Consider the following 15,368-nt stretch of genomic DNA (forward strand, 5'->3'; position numbering starts at 1 on the left):
TGTGAATAGTGCTGTGATGAACATACAGCTGCAGGTATCTTTCTGATAAATTGATCTATTTTCTTTTAGAAGTGGACTTGCTGTATTGCATCGTGGGAGGGGACATCTTTTGTATCAAGGCTTCCCTGTGCCACAACAGCTTGCTTGTCCATGTGCACGCTGAGACAATGGAAGCATGAAAACCTTTCAGAAATCATGAAGAGGGTGCGACGATTGCATGCAGTCATTCTGCAAATGCTGATTGGGCACTTTGATAGGCACTGGGCGTAAAGTGCGGAGAAAGCTTAGAAGCCCCTTCTCGTATGGAGTTTCCCATTTGCATAGGAAAAGGTCAACAAACAGGTAAATAACAAAAAGTATCCTATGTCAGGTGTCAACCAGAGGGCTGTGAAAAATGAAGTAGAGAGAATAGTGCTGAGAAAGAGATGGGTGACATCCATGGCGGAAGCCTTAATTGAGGGAAGATTACTCCAGGCAGAGAAAAGAATAGCAACCAATGCCCTGGATAAATATATCTCTCTTTTGTATGGATGCAGCAGGCTGAGTTGTGTGCTGCCAGTGGAAGGAATAGAATGGACGGTGGGAACAGATCCGGTTAGGGATGGTGGGAAGACCAAGTCAGGTGTGGCCTTAAAGGATTCACATGGATGTTGGCACTTCCTGTGACTGACACAGAAGACAACGAAGAACCATGGGCCCATTTGTGGTTTAAAAAGGATTGCTGCTGTGCTTAGAAGGATTCGTGGGGCAACATAGACAAAGAGAGGTCACCTAGGAAGGCATTGTGGTCATTCAAATGCTAGACCACCCGGGGTGAAACAAGGTGAACAGGGAGACAGAGCTGGTAGCAGTTAATGATGGATGAGGGTGGAGGGGGGGAACAGAGGAGTGGAGGGTGATGTTAGGCGGGAAGAATCTAATCAGATCTCCAGAGAAAGAAGATGGGCAGAGGGGAGAAGGAGCCCCTGGGAACACTTCTGAATTTGTAGTGATGATGTACATCGCCAAATGTGTGTATCTTCAGTGGTCATGGTGAATGGTGTGTTGGGAATATGTGTGCACAGCAAACAATTTAAAATAGGGATGCTTTGGAAACGATTGCACAGTCCCGAAAAGACAGATGTGATTGCTTTTACATTTTAGCCTGTGCCAAAACGTTGCATTAATACTTTATGCAGCACTCAGGGAAAATTACATTTAGTTTATTTTAAACAAAATATTAAGAGCCAAAGCTGAAATATTTATTTTAAAATTAACATGGGACTTTTTTTTTCTTCCTACTTTTTATAAAATAAATGAGCGTTTTCAACCAATGGCTCTTTCCTGTGAAACTACCGTATTAGCTATTTACTCTCTCTCTCTCATTAAAACTGTTTTAAATAAAAAGATAACATAGTATTTAAACTGGACTTGCAATTTGAACTTATTTATCTTTTCCATATTCACCTCTAGTCTACAAATGCTAAAATCTCAACTGTACAGGGAAAATTGAACATAGTTTCTCCTTCTTGTATATTAAAATTTAAAATATGGACGAGTGGTTAAGTTCATTGAAATTTTGATGTAGCACCCTTCTTTTTCCCAGTCGGTACATGAAAATGCATTTAAAGTTAGACTTTTTAAAAGCAGATAAATAAATAAAGTTAGGCCTTTGAATTCTGTCCCTTGTAATCATCACTAAACATACCTGAAAGTGAAGCAAAAATAAATGGTTCATTGTAACTACTTGTTACAAGGAGTTGTTTACAGGAAATTTTCATACTTTCATGGAGTTTCACTAAAAATATATATATTCTTGAATGTATACAGAGCATTCAAGAGTACTTATGGAATGAAGACAGTCATCAAAAATGCAACTTTTAATAGAATGAAAAGGAAATAGCATAAAAATGCCCATTTTTGACTTCCCAAGGAAAGAAGATTTGAAAACTATTTGAATTACAATGAGAAGTTATAATTTTTTTTTAAGTAAGAATAAGCCCAACAAGCATTTGGTGTGTTTTTAAGAAATTCTGAAAAGGTGGAGGAAGATGTATTGAATGAAGTTTGGGGAGTGAACTCATTTGAATAAAACTTCTTGTCTCAGGAGTGAGATTTAAAATAGCTGGCTCTTACTGTGCTTTCTCTGATATTGGCAGTTGAGTGAGGTGAGTCTTAAACATTATTTCATTAAAGATTTTTCATATTCAATGTACTCTATACATTGGGTGAAAACTTGGAATATTTTGAAGGGGTATTAGCAGTGCCATATTCTCCACTGAGTGTTGTTTAAATCCTAGTCTGTCCCCAGAGCTATGGACATAATTATTACAAGATAAGAGTGCTATTTCTATGTATATATGTACACAAGGATGAAAATGTTGAAAGAGTTCTTTGATTGTGTGGGAGAGCTGAATGCTAAGGCCTCCTGATCCAAAGCAAAACATAGTTGCTTGTTCCTAATGTCCAACACAAAATCACAGTCTCAGGGATTTTAAAGTTCCCCTTTGTCAAATCAGTTTAGCCCTGGTCTTGTTTTCAAAGATCGTTTCAATCCATGCATTCACATCCTGTTGTTTGTAGAAGTTTGTTGTGGAGTTAGCATGCATGTACTCAAATAAGACCTAACATCATTGTACCCTTACCAGAATCAGAGTGACAAAATAGGCTGAAATGTACATTTAGTGGATAAATGGTCTATTTCCCATAGAAATTAGCAACTCTTTCTAGGTTTCATGGGGGAGAAATTATCTTGTGGCTTTGAAGCCAATAACCTCATCTAAGACAACGTATTGTTACCAGGATAATTTGTCACACATACAACTGGTCACTCTTCACTTACCTCTCCGCAATCTAGTATTTCTATGCCAACTTCATAATCCTTATGGTCTGGGTAGAGAAATAACAATGAAAGGAAAGTTCATAGTGTTTTTTATTTTTTATTTATTTATTTATTTTGAAACAGAGTGTCACTCTTTCACCCATGCTGGAGTACAGTGGTACGATCATAGCTCACTGCAGCCTTGAACTCCTGGTCCCAAGCGATCCCCCCACTAAGTTTCCCAAGTAGCTCTAACTACAGGCATGTGTGAACATACCCAGCTAATTTTTATTTGTTTTCATTTTTGTAGAGATGAGAATCTGGCTATGTTGCCCAGTCTGGTCTTGAGCTCCTGGCCTCAAGCTATCCTCTCGCCTCAGCCTCCCAAAGGGCTAGGCATGTGAGCGTATAAGGCCCTGCTAATGGGTAGTTGTTTATTATAAAATAGCTTTGATTTACAGAAAAATTGTGAATGTAGTATAGAGTTGCTATAAATCTCTTCCTTCAGTTTCCCATGTTTTTACTTTACTATAGTACATTAGTCACAATTCATAAACAATACTCATACATGATTATTAACTCATCTTTGTATTTTATTCAGATTGCATTTATTTTACCCTAATATCCCTTTTATGTTCCACAATCCCAATCAGCATACCACATGACATTTAGTCTTTATGTCTCCTTAAGCTGTTCTTGACTGTTACAATTCCTGAAACTTTTCTTGCTTCTGAAAACCTGCTTCGTTTTGTGGAATACTAGTCAGATATTTTCAGGATGTCCCTACGTTCTTAGGCAATGGATGTTTTATCTCATAATTATGTTACAAGAAAGGGGTCCTGGTCCAGACCCCAAGAGAGGGTTGTTGAATGTCACGCACGAAAGAATTCAGGGCGAGTCCACAGTGCAAAGCAAAAGCAAGTTTATTGAGAGTAAAGTGGTGAAAGTACAGCTACTCCATAGACAGAGCAGGGCATTCCCGAAGCTAAGAGGAGGAACGCATCCACCCGAGGTACAATACTCATTTATATACAAGATAAAAATAGATCATGGGGAGATGTGCTGTGCTACAGGGTTTGTGATAAAGGATTAATTTCCTTAATTACTATATTTTGCAAGAATCAATATTATTATCTTTGAAGCAAAAGTAGGAGTGCTTCTGTTCTTAAGATATCAGGATGTTAGGACACTCCCAATTCTGGGTCTGTTCAGTAAACACTATCAATCTGTTCCCTTAGCCGCAAACATCTAGAGGCTAGGAACACCTAACTTTCTGTGAGTGCAGCCCAGCAAGTTCCAGCCTCATTTTCCTAGCCCTCACTCAAGATGGAGCCGCTCTGGTTCCAAGGCCTTTGGCAATTAGACTGGGGATACGTGTTTTGGGGAGGAGGACCACAGAGGTAAAGCATCCTCTTATTGGTTTTGATGTTGACCTTGATCGCCTGGTTTGAGATACTATTTTCCAACTTTCTGCACAGTAGAATTGCTTTTTCCCCTTTTGCATTCACTTCCCTGGAAGCAGGCCACTAAGACCAATGGAACCAATGATGATAAACATTTCTTTTCTCCCTACACCTCGCCATTTGAGCCCCTGCATATGCATTTTGCAGAAGGCTGAAGGTAACACGAGGCACACGACTTGTATTTTAGTGGGGAAGAATGTCATACTTATATAAACGCACCATTGGGATTATATTTAATTAACAACTGACATGACCAACTCCAGATTGAATGTAAAGATGAGAAGCAAAGGAGAAATCAAGAGTACTGGAATACAAAATTTGGTGGAGGCTGGAAAGGCACGGTAGCTCCTGCCTGTAATCCCAGCAATTTGGGAGGCTGAGGCGGGCAAATCGCTTGAGGCCAGGAGTTCAAGACCAGCCTGGCCAACATGGTGAAACGCTGTCTCTACTAAACATAAAAAAGCAGCCGGGCATGGTGGTGCACACTTGTAGTCCCAGGTACTCAGGAAACTGAGGTGGGAGAATTGCTTGAAGCCCGGAGGCAGAGGTTGCAGTGAGCTGAGGTCGTGCCACTGCACTCCAGCCTGGGTGACATGGTAAGACCCTGTCTCAAAAAAAAAAAAAAAAATTGGTGGAGGCAACAGATCTGGTGGTATGATATTCTGCTTCTGACAGAAATTCTAGGATGTAATAACTTCCTAGTAGTTCCCTCCATTTTTACTGCATGATATCAGCAGAGTAAAAATAAAGCAGAAAGAGAAAAAATGGCCAATACATGTCAGTTTCCTTGTGGCTCAATAGTTGTCATGTACACAAGTAAACAAGATTTCCCTGAGTAGAACCTGAGGGGAGTGTAAACCAAAAATAATATTCTAAGCCCCTCCCCAACCAGCTGAATGGACCCAGCTCTCAGACAAAGGCATTCCACAGTAAATCTGAAACACTATTTCAGGCCATGAATTCAGGCACAGCTGACCAGTATTTATATTAAAATAGAGACCTTAAGACTGAAAGAACAGACTCTGATGAGTCTCTGATAAGACTCTAATAAATCTCTGATAACACTCTGATAACTCTGATAAGAAACATTTACAATCCATTCTCTCTGAAGCCTGCTACCAGGAGGCTTCATCTGCACGATGAAACCATGGTCTCTACAGCCCCTTATTTTAACCAAGACACTCCCTTCTATTGATTCCAGGTATTTAGGGAAACTCTTTCAACCAATTGCCAATCAGAAAATCTTTGAATCCACCTATCACCTGGAAACTGTCCACCCTTCAAGTTATCTTCCCCTTGTGGACAGAACAAATGTACCTCTTACTTGTATTGATCAATGTCTCATATGTCCTTAAAATGTATAAAACCAAGCTATGCCCTCACCACCTTGGGCCCATGTTCTCAGGATCTTCTGAGGCTGCGTCACGGGCGCATCTTTAACCTTGGCAAAATAAACTTCTAAATTGATTGAGACATGTCTCAGATACTTTTTGGTTTATAGTAGCTAAGAGGGGTAACCATAGAACTGAAGGGATTTTTAATCCATGACACGGAGCTATATGTAAAATAGATGAACATGAAAAAGGCAGGGAAATAGAGTTTCTAGCTTGGGAAGCTTAGGCTGTAACCTCCACCTCCAAATCATCTCCTCAGTCCAATGATGCTAAGATGCACCTCTCTGAAATTGAAATTAAAACTCCTGTCAACTGAGTTTGCCATGAGTTATATGACTGAGTTTACTCTAAATAAACAAGAGTAGATGTTCTGTTCTTGATAGCCAGATAGCAAATAAATTTATTTCAGAAAAACATTTAAAAATGTGCATTTCTTCTACCCCTGAACATGTGGCTTGAAAAATTCTCCATTAAAGTGGATATTAGTGAAGAATGGCTAGTTGCTGTATCCTTCTCTGTTTTCTCTGTGTCTTTATGGAGAATCCTGTTGTACACCCAGAAACAATGCATCAAACTTAATAATACCTTTCTGACCCAACCTTCTAAACCAGGAAGCAGGCGTGAGCATTGCTGAGTGAGTTGCCAAGAGGGTTCTTTATATTTTTTTCCTAATGAGAATACTTTCATTATACAGGCATAATACATACAAGAGTTGTTTGGGGAAACATTTACAGGCGTGGAATTCAGTTCCAAATGTCCATTTCATCCCCCCGCGCTGTACTGCATGCTCACATTATGGTTCTGCCCAAAAAGAATGGGACAAAGAGCTAATGCTGTCTGAACAGAGAGCTTCGATTAAATAGTCTCCCAAGCCAAGAACAGAGCCCAGCATCCTCTTAATTCTTAATACCCTTGGTACATGTGAATAAAACCTTAAGATGTGTTATAGATTACCCCATCACCATTAAAAGTTATTATTAAAATTGAATCCCATTTCTCAAAAGGTTGTAAGAACTTGCAGCAGTGTTTACAGAGCCTATTGAATTATGCATAACTAAATTCTGTGCACTCAACACATTGTTTCTCAAAATTTACAGCCTCCATGGGGACTTGGGGATGACCGGCAGCAACAAATTGCTTCGTGCCTATCCTTTTCAAGTTTACTCGAAACATCTGAAATAAATATGTGAATAAAACTTCAGTACCTTAGAAGAATTTGTTGTTTCAAAGAGTCTTTCATTTAAAGAGTTAACTTTCAAAGTTTATTTTTAAGAAAAGAAAGGAATGGCTCATGCCTGTAATCCCAGTGCTTTGGGAGGCCTAGGCAGGTGGATCACCTGAGGTCAGAAGTTCGAGACCAGCCTGACCAACATGGTGAAACACTGCCTCTACTAAAAATACAAAAACATTAGACAGATGTGGTGATATATACCTGTAATCTCAGCTACTCGGGAGACTGAGGCATAAGAATTGCTTGAACCTGGGAGGCAGAGATTACAACGAGCCGAGATCTTACCACTTCACTCCAGCCTGGGTGACAGAGTGAAAAAAAAAAAAGGAACAAAAGAAAAGAAAAAAAGAAAAAACCATCAGCAGGCTTCGTTTCTACAAGTTTCCTAAAACCAGAAGTTCTTCTTTGAACATGGGATTTAAAGTGTGTCATATACCACTTAGTAACTAGTTGCTAGAATAGAATCTTTGCCTCCTACTAGAAGATTTGATTTCTGAAGAAGCTAGATAAAGAGAAACAGAGAAATACTTTTTTAAAGATAAATATTTAGTAGACACAAAAAAACCCAGCCATTACCTTAACACTGACAAAACAAGTTATTGTTGACCTGCTAACTGGATCACATCAATTTAACATTTCACCATCTAAGTATGTGGGTTTTTTCTTAGCCCAGAAAATTTATTTAAAAGAGATTTTTTTGTTTTGTTTTGAGACAGGATCTTGCTCTGTCACTCAGGCTGGTGTAAAGTGGTGCAATCATAGCTCACTGCAACCTCTGCTTCCCAGGCTCAAGGGATCCTCCCACCTCATCCTCCCTAGTAGCTGAGGCCACAGGTGTGCATCACCAAACCCAGGTAATTTTTGCATTTTTTTTGTAGAGATGGGGTTTCACCATGTTGCCCAGGCTGGTGTTGGACTCCTCCGCTCAAGTGATCTGCCTGCCAAAGGAGACTTTTTTAAAAAGTCTTTAAAAGATTCTGACTCAGCCAGGAGACCTACCTTCAAGCCTTTTCTTCCTTTCGTATCCTCTTTTCTGCAATTCAGAGATAATGTCTAGATCTCCATAAATCCCTGTGACAATTTTATGTGTCAACTTGACTGCACCACCAGGTGCCCAGATGCTTGGTTAAACATTGTTCTGGGTGTTTCTGTGAGGGCTGTGCTGAATGAGATTAGCATTTGAATGCATAGACTAAGTCAGGTCGATGGTTCTCTTCAATGTGGATGAACATCTTTCATCCTCGGAGGCCTGAATGCAAAAAAAAAAAAAAAAAAAAGGCTAAGAAAGAATTCTCTCTGCGCTGGACTGCATTCAATCTGGAAACTAGTCTTCTGTCTTTTGATTGGGACTTAAAGTGGAACTTAAACTATCGGTTCTCCTGGGTCTGGACTTATATAAAAATATATATATACATATGCATATGTGTATATATTTTTATGTAGGTAACTATATATGCCTGTGTATGTACATAGATATATATGTATGTATATTTATATATGAGTTTATATAAATATTTTTATATATGCATGTGTGTATATATATCTTTCTAAGATGTTTGGACATATATGTATATATATACATGAAACACCTGGGCATGATTGACACATAAAATTAATCATCACAAAGATTTATGGAGACATTGTCATCAATAAATATATGTATGTATATTTACATGTACACATATAATGACATTTATTCATATGAATATGGGATATATATGCATATACATACATACATAGGTAAATTTATTTATACAAATAGGATATATATGTATTTATGCATAACAGAATGAATAGGGTGTGCACACATCCTATACACACACACATGCTATTCATTCTGTTTCTCTGGAGAAACATGACAGATATAACTTTCTGGAGCAAAGATTAAAATTTAAGGATTTTTTTTTTTTTTTAAGACGGAGTCTTGCTCTGTCACCAGGCTGGAGGGCAGTGGTACGATCTTTGCTCACTGCAACCTCCGCCTCCCAGATTCAAGCGATTCTCCTGCCTCAGCTCCCCCTTGTGTGGAATTATCCTTCTAATTTTTGTATTTTTGGTAGAGATGGAGTTTCGCCATGTTGGCCATGCTGGTCTCGAACTCCCGACCTCAGGTGATCCACCCACCTCAGCCTCCCAAAGTGCTGGGATTACAGGCATTAGCCAGTGCCCCTGGCCCAAAATTTAAGGATTTTTAAAGTTTGCAAAAATGGTCACGTGGCTTGACAAATATGTATTTGCTATATTTTATTATTTCACGCTCTCCTGAATCAGGCATTTTGTTATGCTGTTTATTTGTTTCAGCTACTGCCCCCTACTTAAACAAAACAAACTTCCTTCACCACATGTTCCTTTCCAAAGACACCACATTTTTCTGTTATTTTCTTGCAAAATTCTTCAAGACAGTTGTCTAGACTCACGTACTCCTCTTTGTTTGCAATAGTCCAGACCGGGAAATGCCTATCCACCAATATTTAATAGTATTTAAACCATGATATATCCATATACTACTAGTCAGTGATACATGGGAATGAATAATGCAAACCACAACATAGCTAAATATCAAAATTATTATGCTGAGCAAAAAAATCCAGGAAAGAAAACCACACATACACTCAGATTCCATTTTTGTAAAATCCCACAGAGTACCAATGTATCTACAGTGTCAAAAAATGGAAGGGTCAGTTCCTGGGACAGGAAAGTGGGAGTAGCTGGAGTCAAAGGATACATTGGAAGTGGAGGGACATGTTCAATGTGTTGAATGGGAAAAAGTCACACAGTTGACTACATGTGTCAAAGCTTATCATTAGTCCCCTTTGAATATGTAAACATTTTTGTATATTATTTATACCCCAATTAAGGTTTTAAAAATTTATCTTTCAGTTTAGTTATAGACTTGTACTCAATTACAGAGGTTCAGTTCAGTTTCCATCTTTATTTTATATTCTGAATCATTACACTTTCATCTGCTTTTTTATAATTACCACGATCTCCTCAGTGAGGGCTGGTGTATACTGATAGCAAATTGTCGGACTGGGTATTATTATGAGCATGATTGTCCACGGTTTCTCTAATCTAGGTTGGTTACGAGATGGACAGTTGAAGAGGGTGGCTAGAAAGAACATGAAATCAATATCAGAAACTAGAAGCAAGGCAGAACTCCTATAAATTGGATTGAGGGTACAATCAAATCTTATATATGTGATTGTATATACATGGCAAAATTAAATTATAGATGTAGATTTGGAAGGGATTTTTAAGCAGACTAGGAGGTAAGAATTTGCTCCTGTTGAAATGTTTTGTTAAGTTTAAATATAAGCTTTTCTGAGACACTTCTTGATAACTGTTTCATGGTATAGATGCCACATTTTAATGTTGTTAAACCACAAGAACATCTTTAGTTTTAGAAAGTAAGTTTAAGGTCGGACACGGTGGCTCACGCCTGTAATCCCAGCACTTTGGGAGGGCAAGGCAGGTGGATCACCTGAGGTCAGGAGTTCAAGACCAGCGTGGCAAACATGGTGAAACGCCGTCTCTACTAAAAATACAAAAATTAGCCAGGCATGGTGGCAGGCACCTGTAATCCCAGCTATTCGGGAGGCTGAGGCAGGAGAATTGCTTGAACCCAGGACAGGGAGGTTGCAGGGAGCCGAGATCGTGCCACTGCACTCTAGCCTGGGTGACAGAGCAAGACTCCAAAAAAAAAAAAAAAAAAAAAAAAAAAAAGAAAAAAGAAAGAAGAAAGGAATAAAGAAAGAGAGAAAGAAAGAAAGTTTAAACATACCTATTCAAAGTTAAAGATAAAGAAACAGTACAGGAGTTGGATAAACATGTCTTGTACTGTATACTCTGTTTCAGAACTTCGGACATAAGAAAAAATTAACATTACTATTCTTGAAATACCTCAAATGTGTTAGCCCTTTTTACTTACCATAAAGGTCAAATATCCATCCAAACTGAAGCTTCTCTTAAAACTCATCTCATTAGTAAAACAACAGAATGTCACGTAAAACTCATCACTGCCAACCAGGGTATTATAAGACTTACACTTAACCAAGGTCTACGATGAACAATTGGTCCATTACACATCATGCCAGCAGACCAATACTATAAAATATAGCACAGATTCAGACTCTTTTCAACGTCTGATCCACTCTCAGTTTCTCCGGGGAAGGGAAGACAAATACCAATGAGATAAAGAAGTTGGTGCTGTGTCTTGTACTTGTTCTCGTTTGCGCTTACCAGAAAACTCCATGTGAGCAAGACCCCTCACTGGTACCATGACTAAGTTGACCTGGGACATCTTGTGTGTGTGTGTGTGTGTGTGTGTGTGTGTGTGTGTGTGTGTGTGTGTGTGTGTGTCACTCTAGTTCACATGGATGTATCAAATTTTATATGCAAATCCATTTCTTTACATATTCATAAGACAATCTTTCTGTCTTTCAGCTCTTTAGATTTTTCCATGTTACTGGTTTCTAGGTTAAAAAAAATCTAGTGTACCAAAATGACAATTTTGAAATTCCATAGCATTGGATGACATCATTTTAGCTATTTCAAGAAGCGCTCAATTCTAAGCCTTATATGTGAATATGAATCACTATTTCATGTTACATGATTCTACTTGGCAGTGAGTGGAGCTCTGCTTTGCTCAAGAAGAGTAGATGTATTTCTGTATTCCTGACATAAAGTAGAAATTTGGTTATGAAGATAGAAAAGAGATTGACTAACCTTTCTCATGGGATCTTTCCTCTGTAGGTTACAGGGGATAAGTACATCATTTCCATGGTGACCGGTGATGTAGAGAAGACACAGGAAAATTGACCACTAACAAGTTATATCCACTGGATTGAATGCCATAATGGATGTGAAACACTCATCTTCACTTTTTACATGAAGTAAGCAAAATTTGCCCCCACTTAAAGTAACAGAACTGTTGATTGTTGTTCTTTCATGTTCTTACTGCTGTCTGGTCTCAAATTTCTCTGGATTATGTTCAAGAATCTGTGTCTCTGAACTTTATTCATAGGACGGTGCTCTTAGTTTGTGGTATAGTCTTAGCATGAGCAGGGAAGCCCTGCATAACACCACATAGTATTTTCTTAGAAGGCATAGGGGTTGAGCAGCTTTGTTGGAGTTTTATTACTAGAGAAATAGAGATGAAGGCAGCAAGAAGAGAATCCTGTCTCGGAACCCTGAAATTCATCCCAATGGCAGTCATATCCTCAGGGTCCATGTTTTATTCTTCAGAGATTTTATGTACATTGGAAACAGGTTTTACAAAGTTACTTTTAAGTTTCACTTCAATGTGAATGGCTATATACAAAAGATTCTCCACCTGACATTTTGTTGTTTGTTTTTTCTAACTTTTATTTAGATTCACGGGTACATGTGCAGATTTGTTACATAGGTAGACTTATGTCTCTGGGGTTTGTCGTACAGTTTATTTCATCACCCAGGTACTAGGCCTAGTACCCAATAGATATTTTTTTCTGCTCCTCTCTCTCCTCCCACCCTCCACCCTCAAGCAGGCCCCAGTGTCAGTTGTTCCCTTCTTTGTGTCCGTATGTCCTCATCATTTAACTCCCACTTGCAAGTAAGAAGATGTGGCGTTTGGTTTTCTGTTCCTGCGTTTGTTCACTTAGGATAATGGCTTCCAGCCCCATCCTTGTCTCTGCAAAGGGCATGATCTCATTCTTTTTTATGGCCACATAATATTTCATGGTATATCTGTACCACATTTTCTTTATCCAGTCTACCACTCATGGGCATTTAGGTTGATTCCATGTCTTTGTTACTGCAAATAGTGCTGTGATTAACATATGTGTGCATGTGTCTTTATGATAGAACAAATTATATTCCTTTGGATATATACCCTGTAATGGGATTGCTGATTTAATTGTATAATATAATATAATATAATAATATAATATAATATAATATAATATAATATAATATAATAATATAATATAATATAATATAATACATATTATACAGAGCTGTAGCCATCAAAAGTATTTGAAGAGATATATAGCACAATATGATCCAGTTGAATCCAGTAATTTTTTTTTTTTTTTTTTTGAGGCAGAGTCTCGCTCTGTCACTCAGGCTGGAGTGCGATGGCGCTATCTCGGCTCACTGCAAGCTCCACCTCCTGGGTTCACGCCATTCTCCTGCCTCAGCCTCCCGAGTAGCTGGGGCTACAGGCACCCGCCACCACGTGTGGCTAGTTTTTTTTGTATTTTTAGTAGAGATGGGGTTTCACCGTGTTAACCAGGATAGTCTCGATCTCCTGACCTCGTGATCGAATCTAGTAATATATTTAAATGCGAATTCTTCATGACAAAGTGATTTATCCCAGAGGATAAGATTGTGCAAACATTTGAAAATTAATCATTTATATTGACCATATTATCAGAAATAAGGAAGAGATTCTAGTTATGGACTAAATTTTGTTCCCCCAAACTCCAAAATTTATATATTCAAGTCCTGATTCCCCAGTATCTGAGGATGTGACTATAGTTGGAGATAAGGCCTTTAAAGAGGTGATGAAATTAAAATGAGGATAGTAGGGTGGGTCCTAATACAATATGACTACTGTCCCCAGAAGAAGAGGAAATCTGGATACACAGAGGCACCAATGATACTCAGAGAAGAGTTCATGTGAAGACACAGCAGGGAGGTGGCCACATGCAAGACAAAGAGAGCAGTCTCAGAAGAAATCAACCCTGCCAACTCCTAGTCTTGGACTTCCAGCCTCCAGGACTGTGAGAAAATAAACTTTTTTGTCATTTAAGCCCCCCAGGCTGTGGTACTTTGTTATGGCAAGTTGACTTGACCAATTAATCGCCTGTAATTATCTCAATAAATAAAGAAGAAGCACTTGACAAAATTCAACATGTTAATTTTTAAAATTCTAACAGAAAAAAATCTGCAGAGCTTTATGTAGTTATCAAATAAGATCTTAAATCTAACATCCAAATTTAATGGTGAAAGGCTATGCTATTGTTCATGAATCAGGAACAAAATAAAGATGTCTGTTTCTGTTACTTTTAGACAAAATTTTGCTAGAGCTATTAGCAGTACCAAAAAGGACGAAAAGGGGTTAAAAAATGAACATAGATTACAAAGACCTAAAACTCCATCTATTCATACACAACATGATCATTTATAAAGAATATACCAAGTTATCTACAAAATAACAAGAAAATGAGTTCAGCAAGTTTCCAAGGAACAAGTTAAATAAACAAAATTAAATTTATTTTTATGCTTGTGCTATAAATATTTGGAAAGGAAAATTAAAACAATGTGTAATGCTCAAAAGCAGCAGAAAATATGACACACTTAGGATGAATTTAGTAAAGCATGTAATATTTGTAGACTAAAAAAGAAATCATTGATGAAATTAATGAAATAAAACATAAATTAGCACAGTAAATCACCAAGATTCAAGAGAAAATATAGATAACCTTAGATTTGGCAATGACCTTTGAGGTACAATACATAGCTCATTTCTTTCTATTCCTGAATATTATTTGTATCACAAGTTCAATTTATCACTTTTTTTCATATTTCATATTCACTTTTTTATCTTCTATTAAAAAAGTGATACATTGAACTTCATTAAAATTGAAAACTTATGCTGTGCAAAATATACTGTTAATAGAATGACAAAACAAGTCATAGACAGGGAGAAATCATTTTTGAAACACATATCTGATTAAGACTTGTATCCAAAATTTACAAAAAACACTTAAATTTCAAGGATAAGAAATGAAAAAAACAACCCAACAAAAAGTCAGCCAAAGATCTGAAGAGATATCTCACCAAAAAAGATATGCACAGGTTTGATAAACATATAAAAAGAGGCTCAACATCATATGCCTTTAAAGAATTAAAAATTAAAACAATGAGAGACCACTAGACACTTTTTTAGAGTGGCTAAAATCAAATACTGAAAACACTAAAGGATGACAAGGACGTGGAACAACAGTAATTCTCATTCATTGCTGATGGGAATGCAAAATGGTACAGCCACTTTGGAAGGCAATTCGATGGTTTCTTACAGAACTAAACATATTAATCCAACAGTATCAATAATTACATTAAGTTTAATCTTACCATAGGATCCAGCAACTGTGCACCTTGATGTTTACCTAAATGAGTTGAAAACTTGCATCCACACAAAAAATCTGCACTTGGATGTTTATAGCAGCTTCATTCATAATTGATCAAACTTGGAAACAAACAAGATGTCCTTAATTGGGTCAATGAATCAGCAAACAGTGATGCATCAGAGGATGGAATACTATTCAGGAATAGAGACAAATGAGCTATCAAGCTATGAAAAAACATGAAGGAACCGTAAATGCATATTTGTAAGAAAGAGAGTATGAACGTCCACATACCACATGATTCCAAATATATGACATCTCAAAAAAGGCAAAACTACAGAGACAGTAAACAGATCAGTGGCTATCAGGAGT

The sequence above is a fragment of the Homo sapiens genome, chromosome X (genome assembly GCF_000001405.40).
Source record: "Homo sapiens chromosome X, GRCh38.p14 Primary Assembly".
Classification (NCBI taxonomy): Eukaryota; Metazoa; Chordata; class Mammalia; order Primates; family Hominidae; genus Homo; species Homo sapiens.